At 42.9% G+C, this 22739-nt stretch overlaps 1 long non-coding RNA gene across 1 annotated transcript, besides 2 other annotated features; it reads left to right on the top strand.

The window, feature by feature from the left end:
• Positions 815 to 3789, top strand: LOC105379126 (uncharacterized). The gene is made up of 2 exons (XR_948679.3): positions 815 to 902; positions 3647 to 3789. It is a non-coding gene; the product is annotated as an uncharacterized LOC105379126 (long non-coding RNA).
• Positions 5786 to 5865: an enhancer, noted in NCBI's record as "active region_22914". NCBI's record gives its function as "activates an Ori minimal core promoter by ATAC-STARR-seq in GM12878 lymphoblastoid cells {active_cell/tissue: GM12878}" and the evidence as "EXISTENCE:reporter gene assay evidence [ECO:0000049][PMID:35858748]".
• Positions 15314 to 15608: an enhancer, noted in NCBI's record as "tiled region #12983; HepG2 Activating DNase unmatched - State 8:EnhW". NCBI's record gives its function as "activates a minimal TATA promoter and a strong SV40 promoter by Sharpr-MPRA in HepG2 cells {active_cell/tissue: HepG2}" and the evidence as "EXISTENCE:reporter gene assay evidence [ECO:0000049][PMID:27701403]".

The following is a 22739-nucleotide window of genomic DNA, read 5'->3' as shown; positions in this document are numbered from 1 at the left end:
AATGCCCCTTTCTTGTGGTGTCACATTCTTGCTTTGTATATTTTATTTTATCCTTCTGAGGATATTAATAATAGATTTTGACGTTTTCTTCTCCCTGAGTAGTCTTATTCCTCTCAGCTGCTTTTTGCTATTATCTTGATCTCATCTATCCTATTAGAAGCCTCTGTAGTCCTTGACTATTCACTCACACTTAAGAGTAAGGCCTTAACCTGGAGTCAAGTGCCTTGAAAGCTAATTGGAAGCTCTCACCTTGTAGATGGTACTTGTTTCCTGAGAGCTTCACTGTAGGATGATCTGGCTGAGCTGTTGGTTGGAAACACATGGTATCAGTATCTGTACGTAATTCTTTCTGCTGATGAAATTCCCTAAAGAGAAAATGCTTCCAGGCACAGCTTCATGTATTCTGGGAGTCCAGTACAGAAGCACAGGCTGCAGTATTCCATTTGCTTTATTCAGTACTCCCAGCACAGTCCAAGTCTTATTTTAGATTTCCTAAGAAGCAGGCACTGAGACAAGATTTTGAGTGCAGATAGCCTGTGAGGGAGGTGATCTTGGGAAACATTGGTAGGAGAGCAGGAAAGTGAGTCAAGGAGGGGAGGAAAGCCAAAAGGTTTATTATCAAGGAAATTAGCACTGTGGTTAACTGGAGCTTACTGTCACTGGAGAACTCTGGTGGCCAGTATAAAACATATACCTCAGAGTTATCCCACTCAAGGGGTGAGGGAGATGGGGATTTATATACCAACTTCCTTCATTGGTTGAAGGCAGCTCCTGGGGTCTGCACTCTAGCCTGCTACATGGGCAGCAAGATGGGCTCTGGTGGCCAGAAAAAGTCCTACGGCAAAGAAATGCAGATACTAGCAGTTGGACCTCCAGCCAGTGTAGTGGATGGATTGGTAAAGGTAAGAGTGAGCCCCTTCAGTTCTATTTTGCTGGGTGTGCATTCTACCTGTTCTGACTGAATGTCTTTTCTCTGACTGGGAGGCACCATAGTGGTTTTCTTAGTTGTCTCACTTAGAGCTCAAGTCTAGTTTTTAGAGTATTCTAAATGATGGCAGTGGAACAACAGTTCAAGGCAAAGTGGTGCTCACCCACATGGGCCAATGGTATATTAATAGAAACAAGCAGGTTACCAAGCACTTGCTGAAGCACCTGGAGGAATTCTTCTTACTAGCTTTCTAGTCTCCCAGTTTAGGGGCAGCTATACAACCCCTTTTGGGCTCTTAGAGGCCAGGAAGTCCCCAAACTCTCACATGGTGTTAAACCAATCTGCCTTATTAAGAGTTTCTGAGATGTCTGTGGTCCAAGATATTATCTTGCCCATGCCCCATCCCTCCACTGCCTCCTCACACACAGATTTCCAGGAGCTGGACTAGTGCAACCCTTATAGCAGCCCCCCAAGCCATGACTTCCAAAGAAGCCAACTGTATGGTAGAGGCACCTGACAGCAGTAACGTAAGCAGACCCAGGGGAATGACCCTGTGTGGCAGACAACCTGAATGAGTTTGCAGTTACAACCAAGATTCATTCCTTATCTATGAGGAACATCTGAGCCCTGTGGAATGCAGGCTGCACAGGAGGGCTAGGCCCTTTGTTTTGGGCTAAATGAAAGTTGTCAGGTGGAAGCTGTTAGGGAGAGGGTGCAAAATGAAAATGCTATATAAACTGCATGCTTTCTGCAGGTGATGTTGTTCTCATGTCCAGCTCACCTCTAGTGGACCGCTCTGTATGCAAGTTCCTCTCAATAAACCATATGCCTCATTTGCTGGCTCTGGGTCTCTTCTTCAGCCTCTTGAACCTAGTGCCATCCCTGTTAAAGTGAATAGGGACACCAAGGCCTCAATTCCATCTAATTGTTCACAGGACCCAGCTGAGAATGACAAAGGGGAGCTTAGAGTTGAGGTAACAGGAGAACAGGAGATGCTAGGGTTCTTAAATTATAATACTGATTTGATTTTTAAATAATTAGGTTGATTAAAACCTTTATAGTTTTAAAATATGCTATTTCATTTAGTCTTTTTTTTGGAACAAGATCCCACTCTGTTGCCCAGGCTGGAGTGCAGTGGCATAGCTCACTCCTGGGCTCAGTCTCCCACCTCACCCTCCCAAGTAGCTAGGAATACAAGTGCGCACCACCAGGCCTGGCTAATTATTTTTTTAAAAACTTTGTAGAGACAGGGGTCTCACTAGGTTGCCTATGTTAGTCCTAAACTCCTGGCCTCAAGCAATCCTCCTTCCTCAACTTCCCAAAGCACTGGGATTACAGGCATGAGCCACCGTGCCTGGCCTCATTTAGTCTTTATTACTACATGAAATAGACAAAGATTAATGAGGCTTATAAAGATTAAATGACTCAAAGATTAATGATTAAGCAACAGTATATAATTGAGTCAGGACTAGCATTCAGTTCTAAACTCATAGCAGGAATTCTGCCTTAGGGAGAATGACACAAAAACTATTGTTTATGCCTGTACAGCATATTATACTATAATATTCAAATATAATAATCTCACAACAAAATAAGCTGTCACTGAATCCTAAAAAATATTTAACTTGCTTATTGGCCTTTTAAATTGAGTGAGGTCGCCTGTAATCCCAGCACTTTGGGAGGCCAGGGCGGGTGGATCATGAGGTCGGGAGATCGAGACCATCTTGGCTAACACGGTGAAACCCTGTCTCTACTGAAAATACAAAAACTTAGCCAGGTGTGGTGGCAGACGCCTTTGGTCCCAGGTACTTGGGAGGCTGAGGCAGGAGAATGGCGTGAACCCAGGAGGCGGAGCTTGCAGTGAGCAGAGATCACACCACTGCATTCCAGCCTGGGCGACAGAGCGAGACTCTGACTCAAAAAAAATAAAAATAAAAATAAATAAATAATTAAATAGAGTGAGGTTAAATTAAGTCTGTCAAAGCTTCTTCACATCCCTACAAAGTTCTTATGGTTCAACTCAATGTTTATAGAGTAATACATAATTGCCCCTTCTGTTAGTCCCACACTCTTTCTAGTATAATATCTCCCACAGCATATAATATGTTTTAGTAACATCTACCAAGAAACAAAAATCTCCCTTGATCTCTATGGCAGTCTTACTAGATGCTGACTGTATTAGTCCGTTCTCACACTCCTAATAAAGACATACCCGAGACTGGGTAATTTATAAAGGAAAGAGGTTTAATTGACTCAGTTCCACATGGCTGGGGAGGCCTCACATCATGGCAGAAGGCAAAGGAAGAGCAAAGTCATATTTTACATGGCAGCAGGCAAAACGAGCATGTGCAGGGGAACTCCCCTATATAAAACCATCAGGTCTTGTGAGATTTATTCACTGTCATGAGAACAGCACAGGAAAGACCCACCCCCATTATTCAATTACCTCCCACCAGGTGCCTCCCATGACACATGGGAATTATGGAAGCTACAATTCAAGATGAGATTTGGGTGGGGACACAGCCAAACCATGTCACTCACCAATCCCGTTTCCTCTTCCTGGATTCACAGGCCTCCTTGCATTTAGATGGAAAAACGCAATTGAGTTCTGGCCAGTGGAATGAAGATAAACGTGATATACCCAACTTCAAAGCACAGCTCCTGAAATGCTCTATGTAATTTTCACATAATTTTTATTTCTCCCTTTTCTCTTCCCAGCTGAAAGCAAAGAACTCTTTAGATAGTGGAGTCACACTGGAAAAAGCACAGACCCTTGAGTGTACTGCTTGGAGGAGAGCTACCCTGGAGCATTTGCTCCAGATTCTGCATGAGCAAAAAATAAACTTTTGCTGCATAAAGTATCTTGTTTTTTTGTTGTTGGGTTTTTTTTCTCTTTACACACAAACCCTTTTCCATAATCAGTAAATGCAGGTTGTAGTGGTCATTCTTGTTTGCATGCCCAGCACTCATTTACCCAGGGCCAGCTGCATGTGTGTGTATGTATAAACCGTATAGTTGCACAGAACCCTACACTCAGAAAGGCCCCATGTTTGGTTTAATGCTCTGCTGTTACCATCTTGAAATTCTCAATTTTGTTTTTGAACTTGTGTTTTGTAAGTAAAATTGGAGGGACAATAGAGCATGAGCAGAGCCGAGACGTGCAATATGCATGTCCACTCACTCTTTGCCATGCCATTTGCATATAGCATTTGCATTGTCCTATTTAAATAGAATTTCACTGAACTCACAATGCATGAAAGTTCAGCAAGATTCAGAGTAAGAACAACATAGGCACATAGGAACTGAGTAGGTGGGGTCGCTGTCAGCCCTAGGAGGTCAAGCTTCCTGTGTATCAGAACTTGTTCTAATGCAAGAAGACAATGGCAGTCTAAAAACACAAAGAACCAAGAAACTCTATCATATCCTTTCCTATTGCTTTCCTGATTTAGCCAACCCCTTATGCTGAAAATGATGACATAGAAGGAAAGGGGAAGATCGAGCAACCCATCTTTTCCTTTTCTTTTTAGTTTTTTCCTCATCAATAAGAAGGTAGAGAGTGTGGTAGAATATGTATGTGCATATCAAGAAGTGACGTAAAAACAGTTGACTTTCGTACAGCATTTTGACTGTTCTGGTAACAATGAAATATATCATACATGTACAAAGTATGAAATAAGAATTATGTAATTTCAGTGATTCCACGTACAAGTTAAATGTTCTTATATTTGCATTTAAAACCAAAATTGTGGTTGGGCGCAGTGGCTCACACCTGTAATCCCAGCACTTTGGGAGGCTGAGGTGGGCAGATCATGAGGTCAGGAAATCGAGACCATCCTGGCCAATATGGTGAAACCCTGTCTCTACTAAAAATACAAAAATTAGCTGGGTGTGGTGGTGCATGCCTGTAATCTCAGCTACTCGGGAGGCTGAGGCAGGAGAATCACTTGAATCCGGGAGGAAAGATTGCAGTGAGCTGAGATAGCATCTCTGCACTTCAGCCTGGCGACATAGCGAGACTCCATCTCAAAAAAAAAAATAAAAAAGAAAAAAAAAAAAAAAAGCCAGCATTGCATAATATAAAGATGGTAAAAAGTCTTTGTAATGATTTTAATTTTACTTAGAATGAATTTAATTTTACTTAATTTTAATTTTAATCTTTATTTAGAATGACATTAAATATCAAAAACACCATAAGTGAAGAGAGAAACTGTGAAAGAAAGAAAAAGCCTTTATATTCTAGTATTTTTGTTGTTGTTGTAGTTAAGAGATGAGGTCTCAGTTTGTTGCCCAGGCCAGACTTAAACTCCTGGGCTCAGCAATCCTCCTGCGTAACTGATACTATAAGTGTATGCCACCTCGCCTGGCTTTCTAGCACCTTTAGTGACACTTTTTTCCTGCCTTTTGAATAAGGAGCTCTATATTTTCATGAGAGGAACAGGCTCTGCAAATTATGTATTAATAGCAGGCCCTGAATTCACCCCTTACTCTTTCCTAACAGAACCCTGATTAAGACATGTATCCCTTAGCTTCCCTCACACAGCACATGTGACTCTGGGGAAGCCAGAAACACTTTTGGCTCAAAGGCCAAAATCTGGTTGGTAAATCAAACACCACACTCCATTCCCTGGAAATGTACCCATTCTCTGGACAGGTACATACCTACATAGTCCAGTCAGTGTATACCATAGAACTCTTGCTTAAAACTTCGTGATGAAAAAGTCTCTCTTCTTTCATTGGATGTCATCAGGTCAGGATATGATGTCTGGAACTTCTACAGCCAGTACTCAGTGACTGATATACTACTACTCACTATCACTTTGAGGTTGAAGCTAATGTGTGGAATGGGGCAAAGCTGAAAGATCTGTAGGAAAATGGACCCAGAATTGTCAGGAAACGGGCTGGGAGAGAGACAGAGAGCACTAGCTGAGCTAACAGGTATCAGAGTAGCCAATTAGACCAACGAGCCAAAAATGAGAGTAGCGTTTACTGCAATGATACAAACAAGAAACAGAGAAAGTACCCACAGTTTCTGTTCCATTTCCCCCATGGAACTGCGCACTAGCTGCAGGTCACATGAGTCAGCACGGATGTAGGGGGTCATGGAGTCATATCACTGTTAAGGGATCCCTGAAGAAAAAGCTCCAGCAGTTTTATGGACTCTGAGGTGGAGTAGGGGAAGGCAAGGGGGAAAGGCTAAGAGTGGAAAAGTACTGAGTACCTAGGCAACCTGGAAAAGAATGTCAAGGTTTCCCCTCCCCTCCCCATAAGGAGGCCTCAGCAGAGAAGCCTAAAGAACCCTCTCCCCAGCCAGGCACAGTGGCTCACGCCTGTAATCCCAACACTTTGGGAGGCCAAGGCTGGCAGTTTGCTTGAGCTACTGAGTTCGAGACCAGCCTAGGCAACATGGCAAAACCTTGTCTCTACAAAAACTACAGAAAAATTAGCCTGGCATGGTGGCATCCACCTGTAGTCCCAGCTATTCAGGAGGCTGAGGTGGAAGGAGTGCTTGAGCCCGGGAAGCCAAGGCTGCAGTGAGCTGAGATTGTACCACTGTACTACAGCCTGGGTGACAGAGCCAGACCCTCTCTCAAAAGAAAAAAAAAAAAATCCTCTGCACAAGGCCTCAGATAAAGAAACCTAGGAATGAAGGAGGCACCAGGGATAGGAATGCAAATATTTACAGTCATGAGTTGCTTCAGAACAGGATACATTCTGAGAAATGCATTGTTGGGCGATTTTGTCATTGTGTGAACATTATAGAGTATACTGGTACAAACATAGATGGCATAACCTACCTAGGCTATATAGTACAGCCTATTGCTCCCAGGCTACAAACTTGTACAGTATGTTACTATACTGAATACTATAGGCAATTGTAATACAATGGTAAGGCTTTATAGATCTAAAAATATCTAAACACAAAAAAGGCACAGTCAAAATATGGTATAATAATCTTATGGAACCAACACCTTCGAATATGTTGTTGGTTGAAATGCTGTTATGTGACCCGTGACTGTATCAGAGCCTGCAGCACACTAGCTGTGCACCAAGTCTGTGGAAGGGAGAGCAGCTTTCCTCCATGAGGGCTGCCAGGTAGAGGCTTTGTAATCACCTGCAATCAGACAGACCTGAAAAACCACACGTAGGTTTTTAACCAGGAGCTGGAATCCTCAAGAACTAAGTGAAACCCAAAGCCTATCCTACCTCTGAACTTACATGAACCAAATATTTCTTAAGCCGAAGCTGTTATTTGAGCCTAAATCATTTTAATTTATATGTTCCTCTATCCATCCAGTAGCTCAAATCAGAAAACCTAAGAGTGAATCTTGATTCCTGTTTTTCTCATATATCACTATGCCCAATACATCAGCAATTCCTAACTAGTCTACCACCAAAACATATCTAAGATCCATCCCCATTTCCTCCACCTTAACTTTCCCCACCTTAGTCCAGGCCACAGCACTTCTCACTTAGACTACTTCAACTGGCTTCTAACTGGTCTCCTGTCTTGCACCCATGCTCCATTTTAATCTGTCCTCCACAGAGCAGCAAGAGTGATCAGGCTGGGGATGGTGGCTTACTCCTATAATCCCTACATTTAAGGAAGCTGAGGTTGGGGGATCGCTCCTGGACAGGAAGGAGTTAGAAACCAGCCTGAGCAATATAGTAAGATCCCGTATCTACAAAAGTAAAAAGGAAAAAACAAAAAAAAACCCATGCATAGTGGTGTACACTCATACTCCCAGCTACTCCAGAGGCTGAGGCAGGAGGATCCCTTGAGCCCAGGAGTTCAAGGTTACAGTGAGCTATGATTGCATCACTGAACTCCAGCCTGAGCAAAAAAGAGTAATAATCTTTTATTTATTTATTTATTGTAATTTTTTTAGAGTCAAGTTCCCACTCTCTTGCCCAGGCTAAAGTGCAGTGGTGTGATCATAGCTCACAGCAGCCTCACACCCTTGAGCTCAAGTGATCCTCCTGCCTCAGCCTCTCAAGTAGTTTGGACTACAGGCATGTGCCACCATGCCTTGCTAATTTTTGTTTTTGTTTGTTTATTTGTTTTGTTTTGAGATGGAGCTTCTTTCTTGTCGCCCAAGCTGGAGTGCAATGGCCTGATCTCCGCTCACTGTAACCTCCGCCTCCCGAGTTCAAGCAGTTCTCCTGTTTCAGCCTCCCAAGTAGCTGGGATTACAGGCATGCACCACCACGCCCAGCTAATTTTAATCTGTATTAAAATTAATAATTTATATTTTTAGCAGAAATGGGTTTTCACCATGTTAGCCAGGCTCATCTTGAACTCCTGACCTCTGGTGATCTGCCCACCTTGGCCTCCCAAAGTGCTGGGATTACAGGCATGAGCCACCATGCCCATCCTAATTTTCATATTTTTTGTAGAGACAGTCTTACTATGTTGCCTAGACTTGTCTCAAACTCCTGGGCTCAAGTAATCCTCCTGCCTTGGCCTCCCAAAGTGCTGGGATTACAGACACGAACCACTGCAGCTGGCCTGTGATCATCTTAAAACCCAAATTTGAATGATGGGCATGGTGGCATGTGCCTCTAGTCCCAGCTACTCAGGAAGTCCCTTGAGCCCAGTCTGGCCTGAGCAACATAGCAAGGCCTTATCTTTATAAGACCCTGTCTCTACAAAAATAAAGGAAAAAATGACATAAATTTAATCACATCACTCTCCTGCTTAAAATTTTTCATGACCCTCAGAGTAAACTCTAGTTTGCTATCTAAGAGAACTTACACGACGGAGCACTAAATGTCACTTTAGCTTCATCCTATGTCCCATCTTCATCTGTCTCTGCTACACTCTAGCCATATTAGTCTTTTTGAAATTCGTCAAATACCCCAAGCTCTTTCCAAATACCATTCCCACTGCCTGGAATGTTGCACCTACCTTCCATGATCCCCTCCTTTTCACCTTTATGTATGGGTTAAATGTCACCTCTTCAAAAAACCTTCCCTGGCCGCTCTATTTAAATAGTCTCGACTGGGTGTGGTGGCTCACACATGTAATGCCAGCACTTCAGGAGGCCGAGGCAGGTGGATCACCTGAGGTCAGGAGTTCATGGCCAACATGGTGAAACCCTGTCTCTACTAAAAAAAAAAAAAAAATTAGCCGGGTGTGGTGGCACGTGCGTATAGTCCCAGATACTCGGGAGGCTGAGGCAGGAGACTCACTGGAACCCAGGAGGCACAGGTTGCACTGAGCTGAGATTGCATCACCGCACTCCAGCCTGGGTGACAGAATGAGACTCAGTCTCTAAATAAATAAATAAATAAATAAATAAATAGTTTCTACTGTCATTACCTATCACATGTCTTTGTTTCCTTCATACTATGCTTCTTCAATTTGAAACATTTTCAATGCCTCTCCCCCATTATACTATATGTTACAAAAAAGCAGGGATCTTTTCTAATTTATCCACTAATTCCCCAGTGCTTAGAATACCTCAGTCATATCTATGACCTCTATAAACATTTGTTAACCAAAGAATAGGAAAATGAATGAGTTATCACCAAATATGTGCTGAGGTGACTAGGAAGGAGGTGATGAGACGCAAAATCTCAAAATGAGTAAGAGAGAATTACTTTTTAAAAAACAGAAAGAGGCCAGACGTGGTGGCTCACGCCTGTTATCCCTGCTCTTTGAGAGGACGAGGCAGGGGGATTGCTTGTAACTATGAGTTCGAGACCAGCCCGAGCAACATAGGGAGACCCCATCTCTACAAAAACCCAAAAAGATTAGCTAGGCATGGTGGCGCCTGTGGTCCCAGCTACTTGAAAGGCTGAGGAGAGAGGACTGCTTGAGCCTGGGAGGTCAAGGATGCAGGGGGCCATGATAGTGACACTGTACTCCAGCCTGGACAACAAAGCAAGACCGTGGCTCAAAATAAAATGAAATCAGAGTGAATCTCTGCTTTCTAAGAGTGAATCTCATCTTCCTAACATGTCGGAAAAGATGAACTCATTCTAGCTCAGTTAGGTTTTTGTTACTTTCACCAGAGTCCTAATACAGAGCTCGCTTGCTCTATGTGTATATGTTAAACAAATATATGTGATATATAAAACAAATATAAATATAATAAGTGTATAATAATATATAAATGTATGTGAAATATAAACATAGTAAGTATAAATGTACACTGCACATAAAACAACTCTTGAACTCTAGACTATGCCTCTTTTCTTTTGCCCTCCCCTTCCTGTTCCCTGTCATGTCTAACTCCCATGCACTGATGTATTTGCCCAGAATGGGAGGAGGCAGTTGAAAGGGGACAAATGGAATTGTCAGACCCAAGTAAAAAAGTTCTAAGCGGCCGAGCACGGTGGCTCACACCTGTAATCCCAGCACTTTGGGAGGCCGAGGCAGGCAGATCACGAGGTCAGGAGTTCGAGACCAGCCTTACCAACATGGTGAAACCCCAACTCTACTAAAAACATAAAAATTAGCCAGGCGTGGTGGCACATGCCTGTAATCTCAGCTACTCAGGAGGCTGAGGCATGAGAATAGCCTGAACTTGGGAGTCAGAGGTTGCAGTGAGCCGAGATCGCGCCACTGCACTCTAGCCTGGGTGACAGAGCAAGACTCCATCTCGAAAAAAAAAACAAAAAAAGCTCTAAGCTAGTGATTAACAACCTTCTTTTGCATGAGGAACAAATTAGAAAAAGTAAAATTATTTTTGAACTTTAAAAAAAAATCTTAACTTTAAAAATCAGAAATACAATTTCTATAACGGTTCTTAAGAATCTGCTTATTAATTTCCTGTCATTGACTAAAATTTCAAAACTAAGTTATTAATACACACTAATTATTATGTTGAATCTTTGAATAAATTTTGTTGTTGAGTAAGTATCCTAAAGGCTGGCTTTTCTTTCTTTTCTTTTTTTTTTTTTTTGAGATGGTGTCTCACTGTCACCCAGGCTGGAGTGTGGTGGCGCGATCTCAGCTCACTGCAACCTCCTCCTCCTGGGTTCAAGTGATTCTCCTGTCTCAGCCTCCTGAGTAGCTGGGACTACAGGCACATGCCACCATGCCAGGCTGATTTTTGTATTCTTAGTAGAGATAGGGTTTCACCATATTGGTTAGGCTGGTCTCAAACTCCTGACCTAGGGTGATCCACCCACCTCGGCTTCTCAAAGTGCTGGGATTACAGGCGTGAGCCACCATGGCTGGCCAAGGCTGGTGTTTATTTTCTTAATGACCTTGTAAGCATCTTAACCGGAAAAAGGAGTTTGTCTTATAGCGCCTCTTACAATGAATTCTTTAAAAGAAGTTGTTTTGTTAAAAACAATGATGAACAAACCAACCCAAAGAAATACAAAGAAGCACCTCTCCAATCACTCACTGGTAAACTCATCAGCTAAGTTTGGCCCCATAACTCTGTGCTGGCTGGTCTTCATGTACCTCCTAAGTCCCCAGTTGTGTGGCACTCTCCAGAGGCCCCACCTGGGTAGACCTAACTATTTCCAGAATACACAAGGAAGCCAAGTATGTTTTATCTGCTACCAGCAGAGGGTGTTCATTCCTTTTTTCCATTTTTAAATTTTGCATCATACTGCTGAGTAATATTTTTAGTACAAGAACATGACTTTAAAACTGCAGCTTTTGACATACATAGGACTCCACTTCTTAGGAGTCCTGTAATGGAACTGGGAAATGGCAGTGTTTTCTGGTTAAATGACTCAGAACTCTGAAGAAACCCTTTCTCACACAACGAAACCTCCCCCTTAGAGTTACTTCTTTTAGTCATCACAGCACTGCCAAACAGTGATACAATCTCACTCTGTAATTAGTTTTCTATTGCTGTTATAACAAATTACCACAGACTTGATGGCTTAAACAATACAAACGTATGGCCAAGTGCAGTGGCTCATGCCTGTAATCCCAGCACTTTGGGAGGCCAAGGCGGACAGATTACTTGAGGTCAGGAGTTCGAGACCAGCCTGGCCAACATGGCAAAATCCCATCTCTACAAAAAATATAAAAAATTAGCCGGGCATGGTGGCACATACCTGTAATCCCTGCTACTTGGGAGGCTGAGGTAGGAGAATCGCTTGAACCTGGGAGGCAGAGGTTGCAGTGAGCCAAGATTGCACCACTGCACTCCACCCTGGGCAACACAGTAAGACTCTCTCAAAAAACAAACAAACAAGTTCTCACAGTTCTGTAGGTTAGCAGCCCAACACAGATCTCACTGGGCTAAAATCAAGGTGTTGGCAAGGCTGTGCTCCCTAGTGAAGGCTATAAGGAACAATCAGTATCCTTGTTTTTTCCAGCTTTCAGAGGCCGTCTACTTCCTCAGCTCATGCTCCCCTTCCCCCATCTTCCAAGCAGCAATGACAAGTGATTCCTTCTGACGTTGTATCTCTGAGCTTTTCCATCATTCCACCTCCCTCTGATTCACTCCTTCTGGTCTTCTTTCACTTTTAAGAACCCCTGTGATTATATTGGGCCCTCCTGGATAATTCATGATCCCATGGTCTTCTCCCTATCTTAAAATCAGCTGATTAGCAACTTTAATTCCATCTTCAATCTTAATTCCCCTTTGCTATTAACACATTCAGAGATTCCAGGGATTAGGACGTGGACATCTTTGGAGGACATTATTCTGCCTGCCATACTCTCTGTGTCCTTGTTTAGTAGCCCCTTCTCTGTGTCTACCCATCTCCTTACTTTCCTATCTCCAGGAATCACTGACATAAATTTTTATCATTTGGTAATTGCTAGTTTCATTAACTTGAATTTATGGAATTGTATCTTTTTTGTTCCTCTTGCATGGGATTACCCAGTTTAAAAATTATCCTTATTTGTTGGTAAAATAACAGGATATCTGGGATTTGCTTTAAAATGATCCGTTGGGGGGAATTACAGGGCAAATAGATAAAATAAGGCAAAAGGATGGTAATTATTGAAGTTGGGTGCAGTTTCAAGTAGTTAGAATAAAAAGTTTTTTAAAAAATCTAGACCCTATTGAGAAGTCAATGGACTTTTCCTCTTCTTGTTTCTTGAGTAGTTGAGAGAAAAACAATTGATGATAACAGTTGAAACTGCAAACCAAAATACCATTATTAAATGCCCAAATTCAAAATGCAATTGACTTTTTAAAAAACTTGATTAGCTGGGAGTGATGGCACATGATTGTAGTCCGAGACTGAGCACTTACGCTATGACTGTACCCCTGCACTTTAGCCTGGGGGACGGCAATATTTCATCTTTTTTTTTTTTTTTGAGACAGAGTCTCGCTCTGTCGCCCAGGCTGGAAAGCAGTGGCATGATCTTAGCTCACTGAAACCTCTGCCTCCTGGGTTCAAGCAATTCTCATGCCTCCGCCTCCCAAGTAGCTGGGATTACAGGCTTACAGGCACCCACCACCATGCCCAGCTAGTTTTTGTAGTTTTAGGAGAAACAGGGTTTTACCATGTTGGCCAGGCTGGTCTCGAACTCCTGACCTCAGGTGATCCACCCGCCTTGGCCTCCCAAAGTGCTGGGATTACATACGTGAGCCACCACGCCTGGCCAAGGTTTCATCTTCAAAAAAAATTAAAATAAAAAAAAACTTCATTGAGATATAATTTAAATACAATAAAATGCTGTTAGCTGATGGAGTGGCACACTCCTGTCCCAGCTACTCAGGGGAATCACTTGAGCCCAGGAGTCCAAGGCTTCAGTGAGCTATGGTCCAGCCTGTGAATAGCCACTGCATTCCAGCCTGGCAACACAGCAGACTCATATATTTAAAAAATATATGCCGTTCACTTTTTGTAAAATTAAACTTTCTATTTTGAGAAAATTGTAGAAGAGAGATCTTCCTACAACTGGATATGAATTTTCTCAAAATAGAAACTTGGTATATACTTTACCCAGTTTTCCGCAATGGTAACATCTTGCAAAACAGTATCACAACCAAGATATTGAAATCAATGCAGTCAAGACACAGAACATTTAATTACCACAGGTTCCTTCATGTTGCCCTTTTATAACCATTTTCTGTCTGGGTGTTCAATATTTACAGTATATTCCAAATGAAAACTTTTCTATGACTTTTACATGCCTTCCTCTTAGCTTTACATAGGAACTATGAGCAACTGCTTAAAATTACTGAAACCTATTTTTTCAGAGCTCTCATACATACTGCCTGAATCTATTTTCTGATATGATCCTAAAATTATATTGACTAAATCTTAGGAGCCATAGATAGACTACCAAAATATCAGCTGAAATAAGGGCTTGAGAGCAGCAAAGAGGGTAGTGAAAAGGCATCCTGGTCCTCCAAGATCAAAGCAGCACAGTGGGTTCCAGGCCAGTCAGTATTACAGAGCCCTTGACTGGCAAGTCAACAATATGACAGACACCATCACTGGGAGCTGCCCTCTCCAATGTCCAATCTCCTCCCTCCTCTCAGTTAAAGGCCTCATTTAAAAGCCTACATGTCCTTGTCTGTCTCACGGCCATATGCTGCTAGATGTGAAACTGCATTTGGCCAAGGAGATACAAGCATAACGGTGGTCTAGAACCCTTGGGAAGTTGTTAAAAGAAAGCAGAAGCCTCTTTTCCACCCCTTCCTCTTTGTCCCTTCCTGTCGCCAGCAATCGGTAACCTGAGCAGAGTAGCAAAATAGAACTCTCTGGTCCCTGATGACCTTGGAGCCACTAAACCAGCTCTGGAGTGCCTATTTCTAGAATTCTTTTACTGAGCGAGAGAGAGAAATAAATGTCTACTTTGTTTAAGCGATGATACTGGTTTTTTTCTGTTATATGTAGACAGTAGTCCAAACTGACATAAGTAATCCTCTCCTCATGTAGAGGCAAAGGTAGTTCTCAGTTAAGGCTTGAGAGTGCACTTTTCTTTGGATAAAAACATTTTAATAGGCCCTTTTAGCATACAAAATTAAAGCTCCAAAACTATTACAGACAGAAGAGTTTGAGACAATTGAAGGTAAACAGCTCTGAAGAATGATGCGAAGCTTTATCTTCCTCTGAGCAGAGTTGAGGCACTGCAGAAAGAGGATTATGATGTTGGAAGAAGAGAGAAGAAGCAGGCAGGAAGGATTTCCTCTTTCTAGGAAAAAAAAAAAAAAAAGGCTATAGTTGAGGGCCTGCAGCCTGGGTAGGGCTCCAGGTCAGAGAATCCCCATCTGTCATCTATGATTTCAAAGATGCTCCTAGCACCAGAGGCCTAAGGAGGGTGACAGCTGGAAGAGCAGGCCCCTGCACAGATGGATCTAGGAGCCAGAATATCAACATGCTTTCATTTTAAGGGGGATTCTTTTTCCTTTTCTGAAAAGTAATTTTCTTTGCTAAAGTCCAAGTGCAGTGAGCATCTGCCTCTTTAAAAAACAAAAAACAAAAACCAAACAAACAAAAAAACTTCTCAGCATTCATTTTCTCTCTGGAAGCATAAAGCTGTTTTTCCTTCAGGAGCAACTCCTCCCCCATTCTCATTCATGTACTCTGAGTGGGTTTGATTCCTCATTTCTAACCCCTCCACCCTCACTCCAACCTCCAAGAGCACTTGTCACCATGATTATTTAAGAAATAAGCCAGGAGGCCAGGCATGATGACTCACGCCTGTAATCCTAGCACTTTAGGAGGCCAAGGCAGGTGAATCACCGAAGGTCAGGAGTTCAAGACCAGCCTGGCCAACATGGCGAAACCCCGTCTCTAACAAAAATTAGCTGGGCATGGTGGCACGTGTCTGTAATCCCAGCTACTCGGGAGGCTGAGGCTGGAGAATCACTTGAACCAGGGAGTTGGAGGTTGCGGTAAGCCGAGATCCTGCCACTGCACTCCAGCTTGGTGGCAGGGTGAGACTCTGTCTCAAGCAAACAAACAACAAAAAATTATAGTTCGAGACCAGCCTGGCCAACGTGGCAAAACCCCGTCTCTATTAAAAAAACAAACAAACATTAGCTGGGCGTGGTGGCACACACCTGTAATCCCAGCTACTCAGGAGGCTGAGGCTGGAGAATCACTTGAACCCAGGAGGCGGAGGTTGCAGTGAGCCGAGATCGTGCCATTGCACTCCAGCCTGGGCGACAGAGCAAGACTCCGTCTCAAAAAAAACAAAACAAAACAAAACAAAAAACAAATACTAAGTCTTATTCATTCTATAGAGATCACACTGCTGCACTCCAGCCTGGGTGACAGAGTGAGACTCCATTAAAAAAAAAAAAAAAAAAAGCTAGGAACCCAAGCCAAATTGCCAAAGACCCAACATGAGGATGTCTTCTTAACTGATTGGAAAAGAAATGCTTCTTCTTTCTGTTGGGCTTGCTAAAGTGCTAGGAACATAAGCCTGGGGATTCCAGTGCTTTCTCTGCTACCACTCAGGAAAGCCTGCATAAGAATGAAGCCAAAACAGAAGAAAGCAGGAGAAAGAGATGAAGAGAAGCCACTTTCTGTTTCTTTTCTATTTTCTTTTTCAAACTCCATTACTCTGAGTAATGGAGTAATTTCTTATCTTACTGTTTGAGCCCTAGAATCCAACCGAGCCTCAAACTACATATATTCCCTGGATCTTTCATTACCTTAGCCAATACATTCTCTTTTTTGTCATTGTTGTTGTTCTTTAAAACCAGTTTGAATAGAATTTTTGTCTCTTGCAACCAAGAGTCCTAACTAACACACTAAGTCTGCTCTCACTATGTTTTGGGGGAGTCAAGGGAGAGGTCTGTACCTACATTTGGAATACATGGTTATTAGGAAAGCAAAGAAGCATTAAAAAAAAGTGATGAGAGCAAAAGATGATTGGCAGGACGGTAACCTTGGAAATAGAGACAGAAGCTTAGACCCTGCTAATTTGGCACAAACAAGAATGGCCACCAACACTTAGAGAAGTTGAGAACACTCTGATTTACAATAATAAAATTGATATATCATGAGCAAAATATGCTATCTGCAGAAAACTGTCTCATGGGTCCAAGGGGGAAGAGTTGAATTAGACAGTTCGCTAACATTATTTGCATCTTTAAAAAAACAATGAGTCACCAGGGTACACAGGGAAAGCCTGAAAGAGATCTGAGCTGCAGGGTTTGGCACTGCGCCTCAAGTCCCACAGACTAAAGAAACACTGAGTAACCAACTTAACCATCTGCTTGGCAGTACTTCCATATAATGGCTCTAATAGGACCTTTAACCTTGAAAATCACTCAGCTTAGGCTTCATTTCAATTCAACACTTTTCAAGCAACCCTGAGATTACATTTTTATATCCCATGTAACTTTCTGTCAGCACGACTAAGCACCCTGCAAAAGAGATGGAAACAGTCCAGATCAAAAATATTTGAGAGACTGGAAAGTCAAACTGCACCCTGGAAGCCAAGTACAAACAGCACATGTAGATGGTCTTAAGCAGAATCAGAATTTTGGGAAGGGATGCGGAATTGGAATGGAAGTGTGGGGTAAGGAGACCACACTGTCCAAGTCAGAGACAGAGTAATAAAAGATCAGGTTGGAAATGAACAAGATTTTGGCAACTGTTCTGATTAAACTGGGAGGGTCTGCATCTGGCCTTTGCTGGCTAGTGGCCTCTGAGGGATGGATTTGGTTTAAGGACAGAGAGCCAGGTGGCCAGCAACAGGGCCAAGAAATTTCTTTTTTAAGCAAAAATCAGTATACTCTATTTTACTACTTAAAAGAGTTTCATTATTTTTAGTAGTAAATGACTTTCTAAAAGTTAATTTTCCTAACTTTGAATATGAAAAATTAATACAAATCAATGAAAGGACTCCGCTGGAAATAAAGAATATACGCAATTTTTTTTTTTTTTTTGACGTGGAGTCTCGCTCTGTCTCCCAGGCTGGAGCGCAGTGGCACGATCTCGGCTCACTGCAAGCTCTGAAATGTAGGCAATTTTTATGCTTAAAAAGTCCAAGCCTTTCTATTATTAATATGTAAAAGTGGACTGTCAATTTCCATACATTTGCCCACATATACCATTATTTTCACGATAGTGAGCTTATGTGAACCAAAAGTATATAAATCTTAAAGATTATCTACCTCTGGCTTTGGAATGCCATTTCTTCAGAGATATTTGTTTGGGAAAGAATGGCAAATAATGACCAACAGGCAGACTGCCAGGTTGCAAAAGAACTGCTGGTTTGGCATTGTTTCAGTACCCATATTAAAATATTCTGTTCGTTAAATTTCCTACAGAAGAAAATTTGCATTGCTAAACTTGAATAATACAGCATGCATCCCTAATTTAGGTAAAACATCCATTCTGCCAGAGCTCTATAATTAGAAAACAACCATAAAAACTACAAAAAAAATGCTAGTTTTCACAAATTTAAAGTTTTATTTGCAAAGCATCAGCCCACTCTAACAGGTGCTTTGCTTATGAAGAATACTGGATTACTGCTCATTTCCCCTGCCCTGCTTATGTCCCCAATCTTACTTACCTCTCCTGTCCTCTTCCTTCTAACCCCATTCCCCTACTCCTAGAAATGTTAACAAACCCAGTGTGTATCTTCACATACCTTCTCCCTACTCTCTAAACAAACATATATACATAGGGATTTTCTCCTCACTGTTTTACCAAATAAAATACTATAAATTTATCTGCATTTCCCTTTCTTGGTAAAAACACACAGTGGACATCTCTCCAAGTCAATTGATAGAGAGTTCACTCATTCTATTAAGTAGCTAATATTCTGTGTTGCTTAATATTCAATGAGGTGGATATACCATAACTTAGTCAATAGTTACTTCTTGAAGGGTATATACTTTTAGTTTTTTGTCTCTACAAAAAGTGCTGCAGTAAAAATCCTTGTATGCAAGTTCCTATGTACTGGTGCCCTTATTTCCAAGAACTAGCAGCAGTGAGATTAGAGGAGCAAAGGAATGCAGACTTTAAATTTTAGGCTGGATGCCATGGCTCAGGCCTGTAATGTCAGCACTTTGGGAGGCCGAGGTGGGTGGATCACTTCTGGCCAGGAGTTCGAGACCAGCCTGGTCAACATGGCAAAGCCCCAACTCTAATAAAAATACAAAAATTAGCTGGGCATGGTGGTGCATGCCTGTAATTCCAGCTATGCGGGAGGCTGAGGCATGAGAATTTCTTGAATCTGGGAGGCGGAGGTTTCAGTGAGCCGAGATCATGCCACTGCACTCCAGCCTGGGTGACAGAGCAAGACCCTATCTCAAAAATAAAAGAAAATAGAAACAAATAAATACTTTTTAATAGGTACTGCCAGATTGTGTTCCCAATGGACTGTATTGAACTTCTAGATCCAAACTTAACAGATGAGCATGTCCACTCTTGTAGTCACCTCTATTGCCCCCAGTCATTGGAGTTACTATTCTTTTTAGTTATTGCATCTTGATAAAAGATCCAATAATTGGGTTTTATCTCTATTCATGGTATTAATCTTTATCAATTCATTTTTATGTATTCATCTTTACTAATTTTATCTTGAATGCACACACAAGGGGTTCTGGAACACAGTCAGATTCATTTTTACCTAACAGTAAATTAGTGTGCTGGCCCTCCTTACTGAAGTTCTGATTCAGTTGTTGTCTGTATCATCAAGGTGGCACTTCTGTGATCTCTGAATCTTTGTAGATCCTCATAGACCTTTCTTTTACTCTGATAGACAAACAATAGATCAACTGGGTAAAGATACTTGGGTAGCACTGTTTGTTCTTTCCGTAGTCTGTGAATTTTACTTTATTTTCTCTAGCTTCAGGTTTTTGATGAGAAATGTGAAGCCGGGCTGATATTTTTCCTTTTAGACTAATATTATCTCTATATCCAACAGACTCTAAGGTTATTACTTTTGATTCTTGGAGTTCTAGATTTTTACCAGAATATGCCTCTATGGAGGTATACATTGTTGTCACTGTTGCCATTATTATTATTATTTTTTTTTTTATTGATCATTCTTGGGTGTTTCTCACAGAGGGGGATTTGGCAGGGTCATAGGACAATAGTGGAGGGAAGGTCAGCAGATAAACAAGTGAACAAAGGTCTCTGGTTTTCCTAGGCAGAGGACCCTGCGGCCTTCCGCAGCGTTTGTGTCCCTGGGTACTTGAGATTAGGGAGTGGTGATGACTCTTAATGAGCATGCTGACTTCAAGCATCTGTTTTACAAAGCACATCTTGCACCGCCCTTAATCCATTTAACTCTGAGTGGACACAGCACATGTTTCAGAGAGCACAGGGTTGGGGGTAAGGTCACAGATCAACAGGATCCCAAGGCAGAAGAATTTTTCTTGGTACAGAACAAAATGAAAAGTCTCCCATGTCTACTTCTTTCTACACAGACACGGCAACCATCCGATTTCTCAATCTTTTCCCCACCTTTCCCCCCATTCTATTCCACAAAGCCGCCATTGTCATCCTGGCCCGTTCTCAATGAGCTGTTGGGTACACCTCCCAGACGGGGTGGTGGCCGGGCAGAGGGGCTCCTCACTTCCCAGTAGGGGCGGCCGGGCAGAGGCGCCCCTCACCTCCCGGACGGGGCGGCTGGCCGGGCGGGGGGCTGACCCCCCCACCTCCCTCCCGGACGGGGCGGCTGGCCGGGCAGGGGGCTGACCCCCCCCACCTCCCTCCCGGACGGGGTAGCTGCCGGGCGGAGACGCTCCTCACTTCCCAGACGGGGCGGCTGCCGGGCGGAGAGGCTCCTCACTTCTCAGACGGGGTGGCTGCCGGGCGGAGAGGCTCCTCACTTCTCATACGGGGCGGCCGCCGGGCGGAGGGTCTCCTCACTTCTCAGACGGGGCGGCCGGGCAGAGACGCTCCTCACCTCCCAGACGGGGTGGCGGCCGGGCAGAGGCGCTCCTCACATCCCAGACGGGGCGACAGGGCAGAGGCGCTCCCCACATCCCAGACGATGGGCGGCCGGGCAGAGATGCTCCTCACTTCCTAGATGTGATGGCGGCCGGGAAGAGGCGCTCCTCACTTCCCAGATGGGATGGCGGCCGGGCAGAGACGCTCCTCACTTTCCAGACTGGGCAGCCAGGCAGAGGGGCTCCTCACATCCCAGACGATGGGCGGCCAGGCAGAGACGCTCCTTACTTCCCAGACGGGGTGGCGGCCGGGCAGAGGCTGCAATCTCGGCACTTTGGGAGGCCAAGGCAGGCGGCTGGGAGGTGGAGGTTGTAGCGAGCCGAGATCACGCCACTGCTCTCCAGCCTGGGCGCCATTGAGCACTGAGTGAACCAGACTCCGTCTGCAATCCCGGCACCTCGGGAGGCCGAGGCTGGCGGATCACTCGCGGTTAGGAGCTGGAGACCAGCCCGGCCAACACAGCGAAACCCCGTCTCCACCAAAAAAATACGAAAACCAGTCAGGCGTGGCAGCGCGCACCTGCAATTGCAGGCACTCCGCAGGCTGAGGCAGGAGAATCAGGCAGGGAGGTTGCAGTGAGCCGAGATGGCAGCAGTATAGTCCGGCTTCGGCTCGGCATGAGAGGGAGACTGTGGAAAGAGAGGGAGAGGGAGACCATGGGGAGAGGGAGACCATGGGGAGAGGGAGACCATCGGGCTGTTGCCATTATTTTTTAATCACTCTGACTGAAAGCTGGGCACAGTGGCTCATGCCTGTATTCCCAGCACTTTGTGAGGCTGAGGTGGGAGGATCACTTGAGCCCAGGGGTTTGAGACCAGCCTGGGTAACATAATAAGACTCCATCTCTGCAGAAAATAAAAAAGATTAGCCAGGTGTGGTAGCACAAACCTATGGTCCCAGCTGTAGGGGGGGCTGAGACAGGAGGATCCCTTGAGACCAGAAGGTTGAGGCTGCAGTGATCCATATTCAAGCCACTGCACTCCAGCCTGGATGATAGAGTAAGAGCTTGTCTACAAACAAACAAACAAACAAAAACAACTAACTGAAACTCAGTTAAACCTTTAATCTTTTAATTCAAATTGTTCGTTAACTCAGATACATTTTCTTCTTTTTTTTGTTTAATTATTGCCTCTCCTCCATTTGTTTATTTTCTGCCTCTGATAACCATATTTACATGTTGCAGCTTCACTATCTATCATCCAAGTCTTTTATATTTTTTCACCACTTCCATTGCTTATTTCCTCTCTGTATTTTAAAATCTTTCTTCTACTATTTTACCCTGTGTTTTGAAATCTTACTTCCATTTAATTTTCTAGACCACTAATTCAGTTTTCACCATTACCAGCCTTTCTTTAAAATTTATCTACTAAATTATAAAATTAGAAAACTAATTTTGTTTTTGCTTAATGTTTCCAGAAATTCTGTTTTTTGCTATAATTGAATCTTCATAAATTCTCTTACTCTTTTGGCTGTGGTTTAGGTTGTTGTCTTTCTCTGACAACAGTTTATAATTTGCAAGGAGTCATCTGGTATATTAGTTATCTACTACTACAAAACAAATCACCTCAAAACTTTGTGCCTGAACACAATAAACGTTTATTGTCTCTAGGGAATTCAAGTGGAATACAAGAGAACCCGAAAAAAAGTAAAAGTCTACTTTCAGCCCCATGACTTCAGTTTCATCTACCCATTTACCTATCCAAAGATAACCATATTCTATAGTTTAAAACAAATTCTAAGCATACATAAGCACATATATGTATGTAGAGAGATATTTTTGGATTTTGTTTTGAAATAATTTCAGACTTATAGAAAAATGACAAAAATTGCACAAAAAACATACCCTTCACCCAGACTCCTCAAATATTAGCATTTTACTATTTTAGTTTCATTATCCTTTCTCTATATATATTTTTTCTGAACAATTTGAGATTGAACTGCAAATATGATGCCACTTTACCACTAAATACATCAGTGTGTTTCCTAAAAACAAAGACATTTTCCTTTATAC

Source organism: Homo sapiens, chromosome 5, assembly GCF_000001405.40.
Source record: "Homo sapiens chromosome 5, GRCh38.p14 Primary Assembly".
NCBI lineage: Eukaryota > Metazoa > Chordata > Mammalia > Primates > Hominidae > Homo > Homo sapiens.
Note: the sequence above shows the minus strand (reverse complement) of the source record. Positions and strands in the feature narration are given on the sequence as shown.